This window comes from Homo sapiens, chromosome 5, assembly GCF_000001405.40.
Source record: "Homo sapiens chromosome 5, GRCh38.p14 Primary Assembly".
Classification (NCBI taxonomy): domain Eukaryota; kingdom Metazoa; phylum Chordata; class Mammalia; order Primates; family Hominidae; genus Homo; species Homo sapiens.
This window is the reverse complement of record NC_000005.10, coordinates 107656785-107676957: the sequence shown is the minus strand read 5'-3', so window position 1 is coordinate 107676957 and position 20173 is coordinate 107656785. Positions and strand designations below refer to the sequence as shown.

At 40.1% G+C, this 20173-nt stretch overlaps 1 protein-coding gene across 2 annotated transcripts in view, besides 9 other annotated features; it reads left to right on the top strand.

Moving 5' to 3' along the window:
* Positions 3058-3137: a silencer, noted in NCBI's record as "silent region_16216". NCBI's record gives its function as "represses an Ori minimal core promoter by ATAC-STARR-seq in GM12878 lymphoblastoid cells {active_cell/tissue: GM12878}" and the evidence as "EXISTENCE:reporter gene assay evidence [ECO:0000049][PMID:35858748]".
* Positions 3169-3668: an enhancer, noted in NCBI's record as "H3K27ac hESC enhancer chr5:107008991-107009490 (GRCh37/hg19 assembly coordinates)". NCBI's record gives its function as "activates a minimal SCP1, AML or CMV promoter by ChIP-STARR-seq in primed H9 embryonic stem cells {active_cell/tissue: H9 hESC(primed)}" and the evidence as "EXISTENCE:reporter gene assay evidence [ECO:0000049][PMID:30033119]".
* Positions 3218-3267: an enhancer, noted in NCBI's record as "active region_22871". NCBI's record gives its function as "activates an Ori minimal core promoter by ATAC-STARR-seq in GM12878 lymphoblastoid cells {active_cell/tissue: GM12878}" and the evidence as "EXISTENCE:reporter gene assay evidence [ECO:0000049][PMID:35858748]".
* Positions 4509-4578: a silencer, noted in NCBI's record as "silent region_16215". NCBI's record gives its function as "represses an Ori minimal core promoter by ATAC-STARR-seq in GM12878 lymphoblastoid cells {active_cell/tissue: GM12878}" and the evidence as "EXISTENCE:reporter gene assay evidence [ECO:0000049][PMID:35858748]".
* Positions 5409-5548: an enhancer, noted in NCBI's record as "active region_22870". NCBI's record gives its function as "activates an Ori minimal core promoter by ATAC-STARR-seq in GM12878 lymphoblastoid cells {active_cell/tissue: GM12878}" and the evidence as "EXISTENCE:reporter gene assay evidence [ECO:0000049][PMID:35858748]".
* Positions 5939-5988: a silencer, noted in NCBI's record as "silent region_16214". NCBI's record gives its function as "represses an Ori minimal core promoter by ATAC-STARR-seq in GM12878 lymphoblastoid cells {active_cell/tissue: GM12878}" and the evidence as "EXISTENCE:reporter gene assay evidence [ECO:0000049][PMID:35858748]".
* Positions 6021-20173, top strand: part of EFNA5 (ephrin A5) — a 294044-nt gene continuing 279891 nt past the window's right edge. For both annotated transcript variants that reach the window (NM_001410773.1, NM_001962.3), the window contains exon 1: positions 6021-6469. In NM_001410773.1, coding sequence (NP_001397702.1) covers positions 6345-6469 — 125 coding nt within the window. In that variant the 5' untranslated portion in view covers positions 6021-6344. The remainder of the gene's footprint in view (positions 6470-20173) is intronic.
* Positions 6259-6388: an enhancer, noted in NCBI's record as "active region_22869". NCBI's record gives its function as "activates an Ori minimal core promoter by ATAC-STARR-seq in GM12878 lymphoblastoid cells {active_cell/tissue: GM12878}" and the evidence as "EXISTENCE:reporter gene assay evidence [ECO:0000049][PMID:35858748]".
* Positions 6559-6628: a silencer, noted in NCBI's record as "silent region_16213". NCBI's record gives its function as "represses an Ori minimal core promoter by ATAC-STARR-seq in GM12878 lymphoblastoid cells {active_cell/tissue: GM12878}" and the evidence as "EXISTENCE:reporter gene assay evidence [ECO:0000049][PMID:35858748]".
* Positions 6789-6868: an enhancer, noted in NCBI's record as "active region_22868". NCBI's record gives its function as "activates an Ori minimal core promoter by ATAC-STARR-seq in GM12878 lymphoblastoid cells {active_cell/tissue: GM12878}" and the evidence as "EXISTENCE:reporter gene assay evidence [ECO:0000049][PMID:35858748]".

The window sequence follows — 20173 nt, the reverse complement described above, 5'->3', positions numbered from 1 at the left end:
TTATAAAAACAGGTGGGGAAGAGAGAGTGCTTTATTGGTAACTTCAAACATTCTGTGGGCAGGACAGCTGAGTCACAGTTTGGTGATAGGATCTTAGCTTCTTGGAGCTTCAGAATTTATTCTAAATGTTCTAGAAAAATAGCAGAGTTAGCTTAAATACCATTATGTTAGTCATCTGTTAGAAAGTTTTGTGTTTAATTATTATTTAATTTTTGCTCTAGAGTTTATTTTCTTTATGATCTCTTCTGGATACTAGTTCTAATTTAACTGCTATATTAAAAGTTGCTTAGGACTGAGGAATTTGATTTGCCAGCTTATTTCATTTATTTGTCTAGGCACCCTGAGACTATAGAACTCTACTTCTATTGGGTGGCAGCTAATTCAAATTAAAAACTAGTCTAAAAAATAAGATTAATCCATATTTAAGCTTTGCCCTGCAACCACATCTTGGAGTTGGCACTCACAGATAATTTTGTGCCATGTAAAAATTATTTAAAAGTATCAGTGTCACTTCACATTAATAGAGATCATGAAATTCTCTAAGGTATCAATATTCTGGCCTTAATGGTGAATTGGGCTACTTCTCCAGATAAGTAAGTGCAGAACTTACTTTTGCCTGAAATATTAGTTAAGGTAAAAATAACTTACCAGTGGTTATTTATTGAGATCAGTGGTTCTCAATCCTCTATGCTCACTAGTATTCCCTGGAGAGCTTTTAAGAATTGTAGATCCCAAGTCCCCCTCCTAACCAACTAAAACAGGAAGTGGAGCCCTGGTATTGGTTTTGTTGTTGTTGTTGTTGTTTGTTTGTTTTTTAACGCTCCCTAGGTGATTCTAATTTGTAGCCAAGGTTAGAACACTGATCAAGGTAGTTCAAGCCCCAAAAATTAAATAAACGCATAAATTCCTATTTGTGCTTTAATTTGGGGCATATAAATTATTGCTTCAATGGCACTTGCTTTAAACCCACCAGCGCACCCAGTGGCCTATAGCTTTAAATGGAAACAGAATTGCAGATAAGCCCTTTTATCGTCCATTACCAACCTATTTTTTCAGGTCTCAGCTCCCTACAACATTGTCTTGTCAAACTCGAAGCGTTTGAACACTGTCTGCATTTTTTTGTCCCCATGTTTTTAGGTTCTTGCTGTTCTCTTTTTGTTATACGTTCACCTCCTCCTATACCTGGCAAAATACTTACATTCTAAAGGGCATTTAAAGTCGTTTAAAAGTCATTGCTTCTGTGACACTGGGCGAATTATAATAAAATTATTTTATATAATGTTGATTTGTATAAATTTAAATCACATGAATGCTTTCCTGAAGAGACAAAGTCACATTATCTAACGGTAAGTGTACAGTTAATAATATAGCTCTTCAAACTCTGTTCAAGTACAGCAGGTCCTCAACGCTGTTTGGTTGAACGTCACTTCGTCATAATGGTGATGAGAAAAAAAATCGATTCCAGGCCATGGCCACTGTCTGTGAGTAGTTTGCACATTCTCCTCATGTCTGCGTGGGTTTTCTCCGGGTACTCTGGTTTCCTCCTACAACCCACAGCTGTGCTCGCTAGGTTGTGTCTAAGCTGTGCACATATCTAAATATTCTCAGTATGCGTGAGTGTGGGTGTGAGTGTGAGTGCACCCCAGGATAGAAGGGTGTCCTGTCCAGGGTTACTTTCCTCCTTGAGCCCTGAACTCCGGCCACCTGCAATCCTGAAATGGAAAAATTGGTTACATGATCTTACTTGTTTTTATTAATCTTTCTCAAATGTATGTCTAGCTCACATTTATTTCAATGTTTAACATTAGAAGTGTTTTGGTCTTTATCTGGAAGTTTGGTGATGTTTTTGTGACCGGAGATATGCATAGGAATTTAACTCTTGTTTGTATCAAGTAGCCTATGGTGAAATTGTTTTCCTTATATATGCCACTTCGCTTAAAGTCACAATTTCCAAGAACATATCCCTGACATTAAGGACTTACTGTATCTATCATCCTGCTGACTAGTAACTTCCATACCAATAATTACTTAGGCACATAATCCCAGAGTCATTTGATTTAGGTTTATGAATTGTTTCACATAGACATTTGAGTTATGTTATGAACAGCCGCGAATTTCAACATCTTATTCCAATCTTATGAATCACTTTATGGAAGAGGACAATGTATACTTTTTTTTCTGTTTAATATGGGACTATTCAAACTTTAAATAGTAGAGATATTTAAATATAAGGACATCCATATTTTTGTGATATAATTGAATTTTCCCATTTGGTTATTGTATGTGTTTCAAACGGGAAATGAGTGGATACCATTTCTTTTTCTTCACCTTTTTTTCAGCTTTGATGCCACAGGAAGCCAGCTTGCTAGCTCCCTGTTACCTGATAGTTCCCTGACTAAAAAGACTCTTCAGTGAGGATCAGCATTTTACCCTAGACAGGAGTCGTGAATTTTCTTTTTAAAGATACACATATCTCTTAAAAGGGTCCAGAATATTTCCTGCAAAACTGTCTCTGTCATATGAGCACCTATTAGAGCCACTATAAGAAAAGCTAAGGAAACAAATCCATCTTTCCTGCAACAGAAAAAACACACACCCTAAAATGGGCCAAGAACTTGAACATCAGCAAGATTACAGACCAGGGAAAAAAGCAAATAACATTTTAACTGAAAATTTGATTTGAAAAATAAAAGCTTATCCATTGGTTCTCTCACTTCTTTCCCCACTTCTTTCTCACTGCTGGAACTTTGTGAAACATACAGATGATGGAGGAGCATTTGTGTCGACATTCTGAATTTCAATTTTTAATAATTAGGCAGATGGTTGGTTTGTGGTAAAGTCCATTATTGTACAGATTGCAATTTGTATCTAGTCACAAAATATAAGTTACTTTCCTAGGACGATTTCAGGATCTTTTCAGATAGGAAATATTACTGTAATTGAAAAACGACTTAACTTTTAGCCAAGAGCCCATAACATCCAGGTACCTCCGTGCCCCTATGAACTGTTTCTTTTCCTCTCGAGTCTTTATTGGTCATAGCCCTAGATTTCCCATCAAATTCAACCCGGCCTGAGCGGCAGGCAATGCCCCTGCTGGGTGCGGATTGCAGGCCCACCACTGGAGGGCGTCTGGACGCTTCTAAACAGCTCTGAAGCGCCTGGAAATCCCGTCTGAGGACTGGAAAGCGCAGGAGGGTGAACGTGAGATTTGATTTTATTGGGCTAATAAGTAAAAAGGAGTGCAGGCAGGTGTGGGAGCAAAAGTAAACTGCCTTTTTTCTCCTGGGGATCTGCCCTTCCCACTAAGGCAGAAAACTCCCTAGGGAACATGAGAAAAAATACCGCTGCTCCCGAGCCCGCGGACCCCTTAAGGGCGGGTCTCGGGGGCCTGTGGCCCCGCAGAGCAGGCGTCGGGCTCACTTCCTGGGCGCTGGACGACAGTGGGGACGCGTCCCGAGGCGCTGGGACAGTCTCGCTGCCAGGAGATCGCTCTTCAGTGGCGGCTGAAGACCAGGCTTGCAACCTGCCCTTGAAGTCCAGGACCGAGGGGCCTTTTCCAACAATAAAGGAACTGCTTTTCTTCCCACAGCCCCCGCCCCCGGCCCTCATTTCTTTCCGCACCGGGTTCGATAAAGGCGTTTATTCTTTGGGGAGTGGGCAGCAAATCACCCTCAAGGTTGAAATGGAAGAGGTGTGAGGTTATTTCTGAAGGGCTCGTCTGCCGCATTCATTTCCTCTCTGTGGAAGGTTCGCGCTGAATTGTAATCACTTTAAACTGTGATTTGCCTGATTTTTAAAAACGTGTTTTCAGAGCATCACTTTAAAGAAAACTTGCTTCCTGCCCAAGAATCTTTAAATCCCAAGTGGGAAGAGGAGGGCTGAAAGGCACAGGAGGGGTGCTCAGACTTCCAGATAACCCAGCGCCAGGCAGCGTGCGGCGTGGAGAGCGGGTGGAATGGACAGGAACGCGCACTCCCTGAGGCTCCGTTCCAGCCCATCCGTCACCTGCGGGGCACCAGAGACAGATGCCGGCTCTCCAGCCAAAGGGTGGGCACAGGTTCCTTTAAAATCGAAAGACCCTACTCCCAGGTAAAAAGATGTCAAATCATTCCTTAGCCCAGACGGAATTCAGCACCCAAAGGGTTACACGTGGCTGCCGGGCTCCGGCGCAGGAGAGGGCGCCTCGGCACTCCCAGTAATTCAATTAGTCAGGTTTCTAGAAGGTGGGGCGGGGGAGGGGGTAGGAGGCGTGGGGAAGGGAGATTAGGAAAACGCCTCTTTCTCGTGGAGCAAACCAATCCGGTTGGAGTAAAGAGAGAGGAAAAACCCCCAATCTGTAAGCAAACAGTAGGCCGTTCCCTGACTGGTTGCTCCAGCTATCCCCCCACCGCGCTCCCACCCTTCCCAAGTAAACTGCTTGGAAGGAGGAAAAAAAAAAAAAAAAAAAAAAAGACAGTCCACATGACCCGGGCCGCAGCGGCAGCAGCGCTGGCTGGGCGCGGGCTGGCGGCACCTCCCCCTGCTTCGTCCGGAGCTCACACCCGCGCTCGCGCCGCCCGCCCGTCCCGCGTCCCGCGCAACACGCCCGGGCGGAGCCCCATCCCCCCGCCCACGTCCACGTTCACGCGTGCGGCCTCGCGCTCTGCTGAGGCTGCTGCCACTGGGTCGCCGCCGCTGTCGGCTTTCCACGCAAGTCATTAACGAGGGGGCGTGCCCGAGGAGATTTTTTTTCCCATAAAGCATTTTTTCTCTCGCTCTCTTTTTTTCCCCCTCTTTTGCAAAACTGACTTTTACAAAACCCTTTCCACTTCTTGCCAGTCGTTTCAATTCCTCCTGGGCTGCTCGTGCTGCTGCTGCTGCACTCAAGTTTATTTATTTTCCCGCCTGGGTAGGGGTTTTAGGATTCGGTTTGTGGTTTTCACCTCTGTTGCTGCTGTGCCTAAGGAGGGAAAGAGGAGCAGCTGCGGGAGGATCGGGAAGGTTTTCTGATGTAGTCATCGGGGAGGTGCCACTCGCTCGTGCGCTTTTTTTTTTTCCTCTTTTCCCATTTCAAACTGATTGATGCATCTCTACAAGTTGCTAGGCTTGGACCCGCTGGAGTCGCAGGGACACTTCTGAGAGCTCACCCCGGGCTCTTGGCACCGCGTGTGGGGGCTCAGTCTCCCTCTCGGAAGGCGATCGGAGACTGACATCGGCCCATCCAGGAGTTGGAGGGATCCATTTGAAAGTGATTGTTTCCCCTCCCGCTCTCCAGCCGAACAGTTGGGTTGGCGTCGTCTTGCAGGTTTAGGAATCCCAGCTCTGCCAGGCCGGCTGGTCTTAACCTCTGCTCTTCATTCACTGTGGTGCACCCACACCCAGCCAAGGAAAGCACGCGCGAGAAATCCCCGAGGCTCGGCCAGCCCCCGGGGTGCCCTCTTCCGCTACCGCCGCGTTCCGACTCTGCTGGGGGACCTGCCGGAAGACGCGAAGAGCCAAACTTTTCTTTGAGGTTTTCGAGGCAAGACCGCTTCGAAAGCCGGCGCAGCTGCCGCTTAACCAGTTCCAGGACACCGACAAGGCTGGGTTGCGGCTCCGGATCCCCACCCTTCTCGGCGCACCGCCCGGTACCGCAGCACTTACGACTCCTCTGAGATTTCTGGGGGTCGCCCCGCTAAGGCACAGAGGAGGCTGAGGAAAGGGGTTCTCAGACTCCCGGGACCACAAGCGCGAAGCCCTCTATCAGCACGTCGCCCTTCTCCTGCAGTTTCCCACCGGCCGCCAAAGTAACTTGGAGCGAAGCGTGGCGCAGTGCGAGGGCCCCGGGCGGTGGCGGAGCCGTGCGTAGCCTGCTGCGCCGACGCTGAGCCGGGCCCGGCGGGCCGGTGTATGTCTCCCCGCGGCTGCGGCGCGCAACTCCCGGTGACTGTGCAGCGCGCGCCGCCGCCTGCCCCGACCCGCGCTGCAGCCGCCCGGCCCGGCGCGCACCTCCCTCTCCCGGGGTGACCGGCCTGCCGCCGCCGCCCGAGACACAGCTTGGCACCTCTTCCCCCGCCCTCGCCGCCGCCACCACACACACGCACGCTTCTCTCCATCTTGTGATTCCTTTTTCCTCCTGAACCCTCCAGTGGGGGTGCGAGTTTGTCTTTATCACCCCCCATCCCACCGCCTTCTTTTCTTCTCGCTCTCCTACCCCTCCCCAGCTTGGTGGGCGCCTCTTTCCTTTCTCGCCCACTTTCATTTTTATTTATTCATATTTATTTGGCGCCCGCTCTCTCTCTGTCCCTTTGCCTGCCTCCCTCCCTCCGGATCCCCGCTCTCTCCCCGGAGTGGCGCGTCGGGGGCTCCGCCGCTGGCCAGGCGTGATGTTGCACGTGGAGATGTTGACGCTGGTGTTTCTGGTGCTCTGGATGTGTGTGTTCAGCCAGGACCCGGGCTCCAAGGCCGTCGCCGACCGCTACGCTGTCTACTGGAACAGCAGCAACCCCAGGTAAGCCGATAACAGGCGGAGAGCCAGGGCTACCCGGGCCTCGGGGCCCTGCGGAAGGAGCGGCGGCGGGGATCGGCGCGCACCAACCGCTGGCGGCGCGCACCCTCGGAGCCTGCGTCGCCCGGGCGCTGATGGCTTGAGGCGTCGGCGGGAAGCGCTCGCGTCGCGCCCCTCTTTGTTAAGCCGCCGCGGAAAGGCCAGGTACCCCTGGGAGTCCCCGGGGCTGCCTAGACCAACTGCTTCTGCGGGGCGCCGGGAGACTCGGAAAAGGGCGGGAGCCGGGGAGTAGGGACTTCTCTGCTTCCCAGCCCCGGCATCTGGCTGGCATCCGGTTCCCGGCGCGGGGAGCCCCCAGTGTGCGCAGCCGGGAGCTCCTTCCTGGAGCGTGGGTCCGCAGGGACTGCGGAGAGAACCCGCCAAACATCCCCCAAAGTTTTTTTTTTTTTTTTTTTTTTTTTAATTTTAATTTTCCCTTCTCTTTTCCCGGTGCGCGCAGAGAGAGCGCACGGGCTGGGGGAAGTGAGGGGGGCTGGGAAGCGGAAGCTTTAGGTTTTTATTTTCCTCTTCAACTGCGAGGAAATCATTCGGCCCCTGAGTCAGTCTGGGCCCGGCGCGCCTGGCAGTGGAGAGGATTCTCCCATCTTCTCCATCCCTCCACCCACCCCAGTGGGTTCAAGGTGCCAGAAAGTTTGATCTAATGCCGGGTTACGTCATGTGTGCAGAACAAGCTGCCAGAGTTGGCCGAGCCAGGAGGTGGGAGCCCTTCGCCCGCGGCCTGGCGATGTGCTGCCGGAGGAACGCGCGCGATTACCTGGAACCGATTTGTAGGCGTCCCGAAGCCCGCCGGGTATGCGGGAGACTAGAGGTGGGCGCCGGGGGCGGTCCTAGTGCGCGTGCTGGACACCGGCCAGTCGCAGACGTCCCGTGTTTTCGGACCCTGGAAGTGGAGTGGGGAGGTTATCCAGAGTGCCCGGCGGGGTCCTCCGGGTCTGGAGCAGTTCCGAACCTTTATTGCTTCCCGGCCTGTGCACAGAAGTCGGCCCCGCTAGGCCCATACCGCACTGCTTTCTCTGGGACAGAGGCTAGCTTCCAGCTGTGTGCCGGTCTCGGTGCCCTCCTAGGTGCTATTTATTAATAGTACCGATTGCATCTAAAGTCACAGGTTTTTCACTGGGCTGGAGTGGAAGTTGGGAAGAGAGAGGCGGGAGGCCGAGGGGTTAGCCTAAGAGTTGGTGCGCGCCCCGGGCTCCAGGAGAGAGGGTATCGGTGGGCGCCTCCAGTTTTTTCTATCTCCTGCGGGCCCTCTCCGCCTGCCTCCAGCCTCCCCTCAGCATGCAGGCAAGAGAGGGATTCCCTGCTTGAATAATGTCAGCGCAGATGAAGATGGGAAGATTTCCCCACAAGCAGTCCGCCGGTTACAGAACCAGGAGGGAGTTCCCCCTATCCCGCTAGTCCAAGATAGTCTTACTCAGGTAGCCGCCCAAGTCCTAAATGAACCGCTGAACAGGAGTGGAGATATTCCTGAAAGTTTGGTTCAAAAAACAAGAGTCTCCTGGAGGTGGGTGGTGGAATGGGAAGCGATTTCTTCTTTGACATGCCACTTACCACTATTAGGAAAAGAGAAAAAGAAGCCATCCTGCCAGAGGAGAGATGCCTTTTATTAAAGCTGACAAGACAAATAGAGCAAGCTTTCCAGTTGTGATGGTGTTAAAAGCCAGTCTCATTATGTTGGTTAGTTTTTTTTCCCCGTTTGTGCTTTATTAGGCAGCATATACGAAGCAGAAATTTGTATCTCTGAACTTTAGCACCTTATTAAATAAAGCAACACTGAAATAGTTTCTTTGAATTTGGGATATCTTGCTCTCGGTTGTCTTTTCTTTCCCACACCAAGCTCCACATTGTGATCTTTTTCTCATGGCATTCATTTATTTGGATACTTGGGTGTTCCAGTCTTCCTGGGTTAAAACGGAAAGAACCAGCAACACCCCTACTTTAACCCCCCTTCTTAACCTGTCAAGCTAGTCTGAGTTAGTTTGAGGACATTTTATCTTAGGTTATCTCTGTTTTGTGCTTTTGATACTGTTGTTTGGTTTGAGATTAGCACATTGATTTTTGTCACAGGTCATGTTTTTTAATAGATCTGCCCTGCCTGCAGAAAACTCTTCTGCTCAGGATGCCATGGAGGCTTTGAACCTGCCCAGACAAAGTTAATCTGCAGAATTTTAAAATACCAAGAGTATTTCTAAATCGGTATTCTAACTTCAGGTTTGTAGAATTACCTTTCTATTTGATCATTATCAGTTTGATAATGGCCAAAAGAAAGAATGATGTACCCCTCTTAACCCCAAGAGATACAGCCCTAACACTTATTATTCTTAGGAATTTATGGACACATTTATCTTGGTATGTTATCACAGTTAAAAACTTACTTTAAAAACAATATTTTAAAAGTAGGCAGTTTTATCTCTGAAGTGTTGAATAAGATGTTGCTCTTTTGATGCATTAAGAAAAGTCAACTTGGATATAAGAGGCCACATGCCAAATAAGTATTTTAAAAATAAAAACTAACAGTTTTCCACAAACAATAGTAAGAAAATATTTCAGAAAATTTCCACGGGTTTAGTAAATTTTATAAATTCACTGTTGTGCAATTCCTTTTCCTGTATGTTATTTCATAAAGTAAGCTAGCCATGCTTTGTGTCTTTATATAGAACCTATCTGTTAAAATTTTGCTAAACTAGTAAGACTTCAATCTTTTGAAAAAAGAATAGAGGACTTTAATTGCAACTTAAATAATTTTTTTTATTTTTCCCTCAGAATATAATATGTTCAGTGGGCACGTTAAACTGATGATAATGTACACTGTGTCTAAACGAAGTAAATCTACTTTAGCTTATACTAACAGATTCAATTTGAAATTATGTTTAGGTAAAATCAGAATTAAATGTATCTTGATCACAGGGATTAAGTACAGTATCTTACTGTGTAACTTGTGTCACTTGTGTATCTGGTAGGAGTTTATCTTCTACATGGAGTTTCATTACTGCCTCTCCATTGATAAATGAGCATCTATAGATGTAGTTTCACGGGAAAAAATATTAAATTTATTTGCTGTCAGAATAGTTTTACTGTTACAATCTATGTACCCAGGTATTCACTTCTGAGAAGTGGATACTGAGTTTTCAAATGCTGATAACTTTTAGTTGGTAGTATTTATTGGATAGGGGACCAAACTGATTTTTTTATGTGTTGAATTGGCACAAATTTGTGAAATAGCCACTCAGAACTATCAGTTTGAATAGAAATATATGATAACATTTGCCTAAATAGATCTTCTATATTTCCAAAATTTGAAAACTTGTATAAGTTTTACCTAAAAGTGTAAATAATCAAATCATCCTTTTAATATTATTCTGAATTCTAAACTGGAATGTCACCAAGTAACTTTGAGTAATGAAAATCCACATCAAGAAGAATATAACTATTTGTCCTTAATTTCTTTAAGAATGTAAAAAGCTTTTAAATAAAGTTAAAAAGACTTCCAGTAATAAAAGTTTATTTACATTCTCCTTTAGTAGCTATGCTTATAAAGAGAGTCATAATACTAAGAACATGCCTCTTCATCTGAAGTATGCCATAAGCAGTTTGGTGCTTCTAATAAGAATATACTTTTAAACATCATGTGCGTATTCTAAGTTCTTCTTGGATTATTTTGACTATTTGCTGAAATGATATTAGGGTAATTAAACATATCTCCTACTGGTTGGCATTATTGATGCAATAGTCAAATAATACAGCAGCAAATATGACCAACACACTTTTAGGAATACCAGTCGTCCTCAACCTGGTGCTTTGCTTCTGTTAAGGTTTGAGTATCATCAATTTAAAAGGTTATACTCTTAAGAGGAAAATATCTGTGTAAGTCATGAAGGATTTACTAAACTTTAACCTAATCATGTTTTCTTTGGACTTTTTCAATTCTTGTAGGGACTTGTATATTAAACATTTCATATTAGAGTAGCAGGTAATTGACACCTTTTAGTTTTGTTAACACGTAATCTTGGAGTTGTGAAAGTAATGTGAATTCTAGGTCAACACTCCCAAGTCCTCTGGCAGTACAGGTCAAATGTATGTGGCTAAGAAGAGAGAAGTAGTAACATTTTTTTTTTCCTAATCATATTCCCTTGAGTATTTTTCTTCTTTCAAAATTTAGTTGCTCCATTTAAAAAAAATCTGAGCCATCATCATTTTGACATATGTATACCAGTATGCCGGCACTGTGACCTTTTCACTGACAAGTAAATGAAATCAGCATGGTTTAAATCTAAGAATTTGTTGTGAGTAAAGATTGAAAGTTTATCTTGGTCTTGAATGAGTTTCATCACAAAACTTAGATTGTCCTTACTTTTGAAATTTTAAATATTTTAAGTAATATTTTGTATGTTAGAAACATAAATGTTTTTCAAGTAAAAGGCATTAACTTTAAGCCTCAGTGTAACGTATCACATTATTAGATGTATTGGTAGTAATTTTGTTACTCTGAAATTTAGATCAGAATTTATGCAAGTACCAGGCTAAAAATAAGGCAGTATGATTGAGGTTTATAACCCATGTTTTTATGCTTATATGTTTATAAGAGACGTGAATTGACCCTCCCCCCTTTTTAATCTAGAAATTTGTAAAAGAGAAGTATGATTCCTGTTTTTTGGTGAGTTTTCCATAGAATTTTGAAAAGCAGAGTTAGCTACTAAGATATGTTCTACCTATTTGATTCATTATTTTATATATTCACAATAAACTATCAGAAATACTCAACTGTCTGATTTTTAGATGATAGGAACATTAGAGCTATTTGAGGCAGATTTGGCTATACAGTCTAATTTGGCATTTTCAGGGTAAGACCAAGGTCAGTAAACTACTAGTGATTAAAAGTATCAGAGTCTTCAGTAGTTTATTACTCTCTGTTAGGTGATTTTAGTGGTAATAACTAAACCATCAGCTCACTGAACTAATATCTTGTTGTCATGTGTGTTGTGGCTGACAGTAGCTTCAGAAGCTTCCACCTTTGAAGGCTGAGGATCAGGTTTGGAGGGAACACTTAGTTACTTGGGTGCAAATTAACCTTGTGAATTTCTTGCCATTTAATCTTGCAGAATACCTTCTGAACAGGCATTTCACTGCATTCTGTCCACTGGCCTGGTTTCCTGTTGGATAAGGACATAAAGATGGGCGCCTCCTTTTCTCCCCTGTTGCTATGAACCAAGCAAGCTACCAGCTTCACGCTGGGCCAAGAAAATGAATGAATACAATTAGTCCTTCAGGAGTTCTGGCCTTTGCTAGCTTGGGATAAGTATATGCCAGAAAATTTACCTTTGAGAGAGAGAAAGCATTAAAATAAAAATGAACAAAATATGAGAATATGTTAAGAATAGAATTTTACATGTTGGGTAGCATTTGGTCTAGTGGCTTATTGGTTTGTGTTTTCAATATAAATTTAAAAATTTTTTATAAGATACCACTCAACCTTCCTCATTTTTGTGCATGTGTTGAATAACTTCGGTAGCAATAAAGACTTAAAAAGCTGTGATATTTTGTTTGAAATAATGAACGACTCTGTGTTGACGATTCTATATTATCAATTTTCTTTTCAGAAGCAGTATACAAACTGTTAAAATAGCATTCCGGATTAGAATATCCATGTTGCAAAGGAAGCCTCAATTTCCCTAAGCACAGTGAGGAAGGTCCTTGCCTCTTACCCAGGACAACTCAGTCAGATCCGCTTTCTGAACTGAGGAAAAAAATTGCCCTTTGATCATTTGTGATGGATAACACCTTCATTTTCAGGTATAAAATCCTCAAAGAGGAGTATAAGAAATGAGGTATTAATATTCACTTTTAATAATTTGTCTTACGATGGTGGTCTTAGACAGCCAAACATCAATAAATTACTGTCTCTTTTAAGGGCCTGATTTATATTATCAAATTTATATTTTAGTCTGCTTTTCAACCTATGTCCTGAGCTGTTTTGTAGAAAAGTTTCTTGTGATTAATGTGAACTTCCAGTGCTTCTGAATAGGATATTACTCACTACTAGGAGATTTATTTCCTCTTAAATTTGTCTGCATTTATGTTTTCAAAATTTAGTCAGTCATAAAGGAGCACAATGACACAGGACCATCTAGCTTAAAATTAAAAATTAATCAAGTTTTTTCTGACTACAACTATTTTGCATGATCTTGAGTAAAATCATTCCTAATATCTTCATATTCTTGATAGTACTTTTTATTGTACTCTCTAAAGGATTTATTGTAAACTGAAATCCGTGTGCTATTTTCTAATTGAAAAATTTGAGTGGATGCAAATTCTTGTTTTTGAGGCTTCTGAATATAATTTTCAAACAGTAAACCATATAGTTCAATGAAAACATTATTTTAAAATATTGAAAACTCTTATTTAGGCTAGCTAGTTGCTGAGAGACAGTAGTGTACCACAGTGATGGTTAGCTCAGCTTTCATTCAGGTAGAATTCTATCATTTTCAATAAGGAAAAATAAACCTTTGTCATCTTTAGAAACATCCTTCATACAATTGACAGTTGACAGGTTGAAGAAAATGTTACTGTCAGGTCTTATTTTCCACTCAAGTGAGGAATAAAAATACGTTTGAATGATTTTTAAAAATCTATTTTAAAATTATTTCAAGATGGATAAAATGCTCTTAATTTTTATATGCATATCAGAATTGATCTTCCAGTTGCTTTAGGGAGGGTCAGCAAAGTGTAGCTCAAGGAGAGATCGTCTAACAGTAAAGTTCCTATGATTTTTACTTTTAAAAAGTCAAGTACAGTTGATTTGATTGTAATAGGATATTGCTGCAAGTTTTATGATTGGATTCTTAGGAGATATAAGATATAAATATTCTTTCTATTATAGCTTATCAAGTGACCTGATTTTCATGACTGATGATCACGATTCTGGTGTGAACTAAAAGTGGGAGTTTTGGCATATGCTCTGGACAGTCATATATGTTAGCAAATATGTATATGCCTTGGACAATCATGTTGTTAGTACACATTGATTAGACCTGTTTTAAAAATCGCTTTGCTATTAATGATTTAAAATAACCACGCAGTATAATATATGGATTACCATGTTGGAAACACATGAATACCTACTTAGAGATTAGAAAAAATATGATTAAGTGCTTATTTCCTGATTTAGAAAAGCTTGTTTTTTGGCTTTCAGTTAAATCAGCGTGTTTTTTTTCCCCCCTAGAAGCAGCCATCTTGTTTTAAGACCGATTTTATTTCTTTCGTGAAATTGGTTCGGAAATGAATATGGACGATAGAAAAGGACTAAACCACTTTATGATCATTTTGGCAGGGCTCTCTACATTTAAAGCGCTATCTTATTTGCGAACTTACTAAAATGCTATCTTCTTATATTTAGTTGACAGAAAAGGATGTTTTAACTTAGTAATAATATGCTTAAACCCAGGCATATTATATATTAATGTTAAATGTTGGGCTGTACCATGTTTCCATACATATTTTTTTCTCGAAGCTTATACTTTATGGCTAACTTCAAAGTGATATATTAATAGCCCCTATTGTCACCTCCACCCTCAAATCCTGATTTCATTTTTCTGACTATGCTAAGTAGTTCTTTTTATTTGTTGGTTGCCTTTTTTTTTTTTTTTTAATTACTCAAGTCTACCCGGAATCTTTCTCCCGCAAAAGGTACTGATAAGAGTATAGGTACCTCTAAATATGAAGCAGTTGGGGTTAAGATGCGTTATATTAAGTCAGAGCCTTTTTGTCTCTGAAATATAGGCTCTTCCTATCACATTAGAACAAATCTTTCTTGTGGGTTCTCATAGATTATTTTACAAGTAAATTCATATTTGTTACTAAAAATTATGAGAGTATATCAACTGACTGCTATATTTTCTGTCATGTTTTGTATTTCTGGATACATTTGGAAAACCAAGTGACCTAATAAACTTTACTAAAAATTTATACTATACTGCTTACTACTGCATGTGTTTGATGATGGCTGGGAACATTATTCTCATGTACTGCAGTAAAAGCAGAGCTTCCGTAAGATTAATTTCAAAAGTAACCTGACTTAGCCTGATTAAGCTGGGCACAGTGAAATATTACTTATGTCACTTATGAAAAACTGCTTCAGTTCATTAGAGGTAGGATTTTGGGTGGTTGTAGATGTAGTGTAAAGGCAATAAATGCATGTTTTAATAACAGATACATGTATCGCGGTTAAAGTTCAGGTACGAGTTGACCATTTTTGCGCAGAAAACTTTCCTCTGATATCTAGCATCTGTTTTTCTTTGGCTAGTGAGAAGACTAAAATAACTTGAATGTTCAAAGTGACCTTTTGTTTTTAAATGAACTAACAAATACCTTTTGTTTTTTTTCTTGCTGTTTCCAAGCTGTCAGAGTTTCCATTTTAAAATTTATTAATTATTTATATATGTAAAAACTATAATTAAGAATTAGCTCTTGCCTCTTTCCCTGGAAATTATAAAAGTAAATGAAAGTATTTTTATATGAAACAGGCAGTGTTGTGGTTTGAATTAAATGAGGTTATGGCATAGTTAGGTTGGATAATTATAGTGCAAATTGTTATCTAGGTTGTGATGATGACAGACATGATACTTGATGTTTTATATTTTGTAGATGTCAGTGGGATATACAACTTTGTTACATTTACTGAACTCAATAATGTATAGACAACTTCACGTGCTTACATTTTTAATAGTTTTTAATTTTATGGAGACAAATGAGAATGGGGGGAAAAGGAAAAAATAATTCTAAGTATGGGAAATTATCTTTTGTGTCTAACAATTAGGTTAAACAAAGTGGGAGCAAATGAGCCTAGTTCCCCTTCTATTGTTTCAGGGCAAGAAAATACAGACAGATGTCGGAATGTGGAAGCGGTGACCTCTGACTTGCACAGCATGGCCACTGCCCTGGCACACAAGTGTCCTGAGCCACCATCGTAGCAGGATGCGTTTTTGAAGTGACTGACACTTTGAGATGGAGATCTTGAAACTGATTCTGTAGCTATTTGCAGACCTCCAAAGTATCAGTCTTTTTAGTTTTCATTTTAAGTTTCTCACCTTACCATTTATGAAAATGTTTCTTTGGCTCAGACAGAGCTTTTGTGGCTTCCGGATGGCTTCTCTGTCCATATAGTCGCTATAAATCTTTGCCTCCCAATAATTTTATTCAACATGTTGGGATAATGGAGGCTAAGGGAAGCTCAGATGTATGGTTCTGCTGCAGCAAAGTGTTTGCCTGCTTTATTTAGCTAATACTTTTTTTTTCTTCTTCTTCTTCTTCTTTTTTTTTTTTTTAACAGACAGATGAAAGCAGTGGTTTTGTTAAAGGCCTTTTCTTTTAGCCTCTGCTCTGCAATCTCGCCAGTAACCCCTGGGTTCAGACAGACCATTAATGTTTTAGATACTGTGGCATTCAGTGCTTTCTTCATATATTTGTTTACTGTTACTGCTTCAATAAACTTTTACGCCTATTTCAGTAGTTTTCTGGCGGGAGCTCCGTTTATTAAAATTTAGTGACCCAGCACTAAGAGGGGTACAGTTCAAATAGTGGTGCTTCTGACAGGGTTTTGTGTCAAACTAGAGAAAATAATGGGGAAACGAAAGCTGCCAAAATGTGTCTCCCAATTACTAATTAATAAGGAGAGAAGGGACCTCAGTGATAGATCTGGTGTCTGCCATTGCAGCAACTTGGGATACTTTATTTTAAATACTGTATAAAACAAATTAAACATCAGAGAATGTAGCACCCAGGTATTTTGTATCACAAGTGATAATTTTTTTAAAGTCTGTGAAAAGCCAGGCAAAAAACAAAATTTGAAATGAAATCTTTGTACTCTTTACCTATAGTATCAAAATATAAAGCTATTCTAAAGAGTATTTCCCTGATTAATAAGCAATTCCTTTATTCTTATTAATATTTTAGTTACAGACATGATAGTGTTCTTCTTGGTTTCAGTATGGGTGTAGCATTGTATACATACTTTATTGTCAACAAAGATTCAAGGAAACATTTTAAAATTTTCCCACCATATGCTTGTCATTAATATTTTGAAAATTACTGTAATTGAAGAACAGAACCTCCCCCACTTGCCAAATATATATATATATATATATATATATATATATATATATATATATATATATATATGTTTTTGCCATCTCAGAGGTTCCAGTCTTTTTCTGGCAGTGTTCCCACTGTGGTTGCTAGAACCATAATTAAATGCCTGTTATTAGTGTATTTTTTCCATAGCATTTACAGCATCAAAAGCAAAGGGTCTTGTATGGAACTATAGCTATCAAGGGAACAATGAAAACTAATTACACACTTTGACATCACCATAGTCAACTATACTCTTGGGAAGACAACATGACAGAGGTGGTGTGTGTTGAGGGGGTGGGTATATGTATACACGATATTCCATAAGAATATGTACACCTAAGGTCAGACATACCTATTGGTTTACCTTCATCCTCTGTTCTCTGAAGGAAAAAAAATGTAGAAAGGACTATTAATTTAGTTAATTAAAATGAAAAAATGCAGTTCTTTGTTAGGAAGGGTCTCCCTATTTTAGCGTTCTTCCTTTGTAATATGAACTGAGAGAACCAGCAATATCTGTGAGTCTGAATATCTCGTTATTTTGAATATTATTTTGGCATGGTCTTGTTATCAATACATATATTAACATATCTGACTATTATCATTACGTCTTTTGCAAATTATTTTTTTTTTACTTAGCTCTAGATTTTTCATTGACATCTGGTTATTTGAGAGCTAATCACTTCATTTATTATGTAAATCTCTCTATTGCTATTTTTCTCTTTTGATGGCTTTTAGCCATTTTATTGTCTCTGGGCCTGTAGACCTATGGAAGATTTGAGAAAGAAAAGGAAACTAAAAAAAAAAAAAAAAAAAGGAAAACCCAAAAAACTCAAACTTTTAGCAGCTTGGATAGAAGATTTGGTAAGGGAAGACCTTAAAGCTATTGAATAACATGAAGTTTTGGAATCAATTTTGGATTTCAGTCATCCACGCCATCCCTGTTCTCTGGTACCACATAGAATCAGAACTTGGTCCTATATAATGTTTTCCATTACTATTTTCATTCCTAGGGTGAGCACTCTTAGCTGTATCTAAAACCAAAGCCAAATAGATGAATTCAGCAATTACATGTTGACTTGAACTTATTTTTCCAAAGTTTTCACACTGAAGAAATTCTATATTCCTATATTGAATATCTAAAAGTTATCATTGATAAACTATTGAGTGATATTTGCAGAACACTGGGAGACATACAGTGGATTCAGGGATAAGATAACATTTGCACCTGTAAGGAACTTAAGACCATTGTGCAGATATAATAATTTTATACATATAATTATATTACAGAGTATAAAATAGTACCATAAATGTGCACATGTAGATTTATTTGACAGATATTTATGTCAGGTGTCCACTGTGGGCCAGGTACTGTTCTCAGTACTGGAGATACTGCAGTAAACAGCATATATACAGCATCCCTGTCATCATGAAGCATTCGGTTAGTAATTTCTAGGTCACTGTTTCTCACACTGTAAGGTGAACACAGACCTGGAGATTTCGTTGAAATGCAGATTTTAATTTAGTGGGTCTGGGCTACATAGGGCCCTGACAGTCTGCATTTCTAACAAGCTCCCAGATGACATTGATGCTGCTGGCCCATGAACCGTGGTTTGCACAGCAAGGTTCTAGATAAAATTAAGTGGGAGAGAGATGACTTCTGGCTCTTCTTCAAGGACTCTTGGTTGTATTTGCGCTGAACTTTTCATAGAGTTCTGCAGTTTCTAAAATGGCTCCGTATTTATGTGAAGGAAAATTATTTGCCATTTAAGAAGCCCAGAATGCCTAATGTTCCTTTCTAACCACTTTCCTTCAAAACTCAGACAAATAAAACAGATTTTTACATTGAAGTTTATGCTTCATTGAAAATACACCACTAACAAAGGTAATGGGACAGGGATTTCATTATAAGATTTGGTCTCTGTAGACAAATTCCACTGGAATAAAAATACTACCTTGGTCCAAAAAGTTTAAGGAGGATCCTGTCATAAATGTCTAAAGATATTAAGCAAACCCTCCCAAGATGTATTTTATGTGGCAATGCCAGAATTACACCGCAGAAACAGATTTTTAACACTTTCCAACTTAAATCCGTATGGTTAAATTAACCCCAAATGTTCTTTTTACATTAACATAAAAGATGACTAACAGTTTTTCTACTTTCAATGTCTGGGTTTCTTGTGGGTGGCTTTCAGGAGCCTGTAATTTCAATGGAGTTATAAAAGACTTGGGACAAAATGCGTTCTTTCTGTAAAGTTCTATGATTCTAGTAGTCTTAGTGAGAAACTTTTGCTCCTGTAGAGTCTAGGTAATATAAGATCTGCAAATATGCTTCTGCTTTCCTCACAGCGTATGTATTATTTGCTTTTTCAAAGCAAATCTTTGTATTAACAAGTAAGGAATGGAACTAGTTAAATTCAGAAGATTACTCTGCGTTTTTTGTTTTTTGTTTTTACTGATCTTCACTCTGTGTATATAAATACAATATTACTAATCTAAATGAACTTTCAAGTCTTTGAAAGCATCAGTTAAGTAGACTGACTTAATTGAAATGTACCTCTATGGAATGATTATTTTTAAAAGAGATAAAACGGTTTGTACTTTAAGTCAGGTGTATTTTTATGAAAGGAAACAGATGAACAGGACAGTGACCACTTAAGTATAATTTTATTTTAAAAAGAAATTTTTACCAACAATTTTTGATAGTTAATTTTAAAACAGAAGCAAATATTTTTCTTTTTAAATCCTCAATGGCTTTAATTAGAACATTGGGTACTATTTCATAATAACTATGAATATTATTAAGAATAGTAAATCAAGACAGTACTGTTTTCTTTGTAAGTTTATGTTTATGTTCACTGTGGTGTAAACGAGGGTTCTCAAACAGTGAATTTGGGGGTGACAAGCACTTAGCGTTTCCAGTTTTATGATTCTCATAGATCCTGAAATGCTAGAACCTTCTGTGACTCTGTGTGAACTTAAGTGGCTCCTAAAAAAGAACTATGCTATATGCTTCAAAGATTGTTAAATTTAGGAATAGGAATGGATTTGTTGAAAATAGAGTTGATATACCTAAGATTTGTGTTTTAGATGAAGTAGAAGATGCTCAGTAGTTCTTAATACTGTTTTTCACCTCCATTTTTAAAAAAAGAAAATAAGCACATTAAATTGTTTTTATTTAACTCAAAGTTATTAACAGTGACTTGTCATCATATTAATAGGTTGTAACCAAGTTCTTCCATATACTAATATATGTTCCTATACAGATTTAACTGCGTATAGTAAAAACATTGTGTTTATGTACTTTTTTGTTTTGAATTTTTACAGTAGCAACTATTACAGATCAAACTTTAAATTTGTTTGGGTGTTGGATAGGCAAGGACTCAGAAAGTAAGATATTAAAAAACCTATATCAGATTAGATTTGTCACTTGTCTGTTAAAATTTTTTGGTTTTATTTCAGAGCTAATTAAATTTCAGCTCTATTTGAGTTGTAAGTATGCCATTTATAGTGGTGAATCTAAGCCTC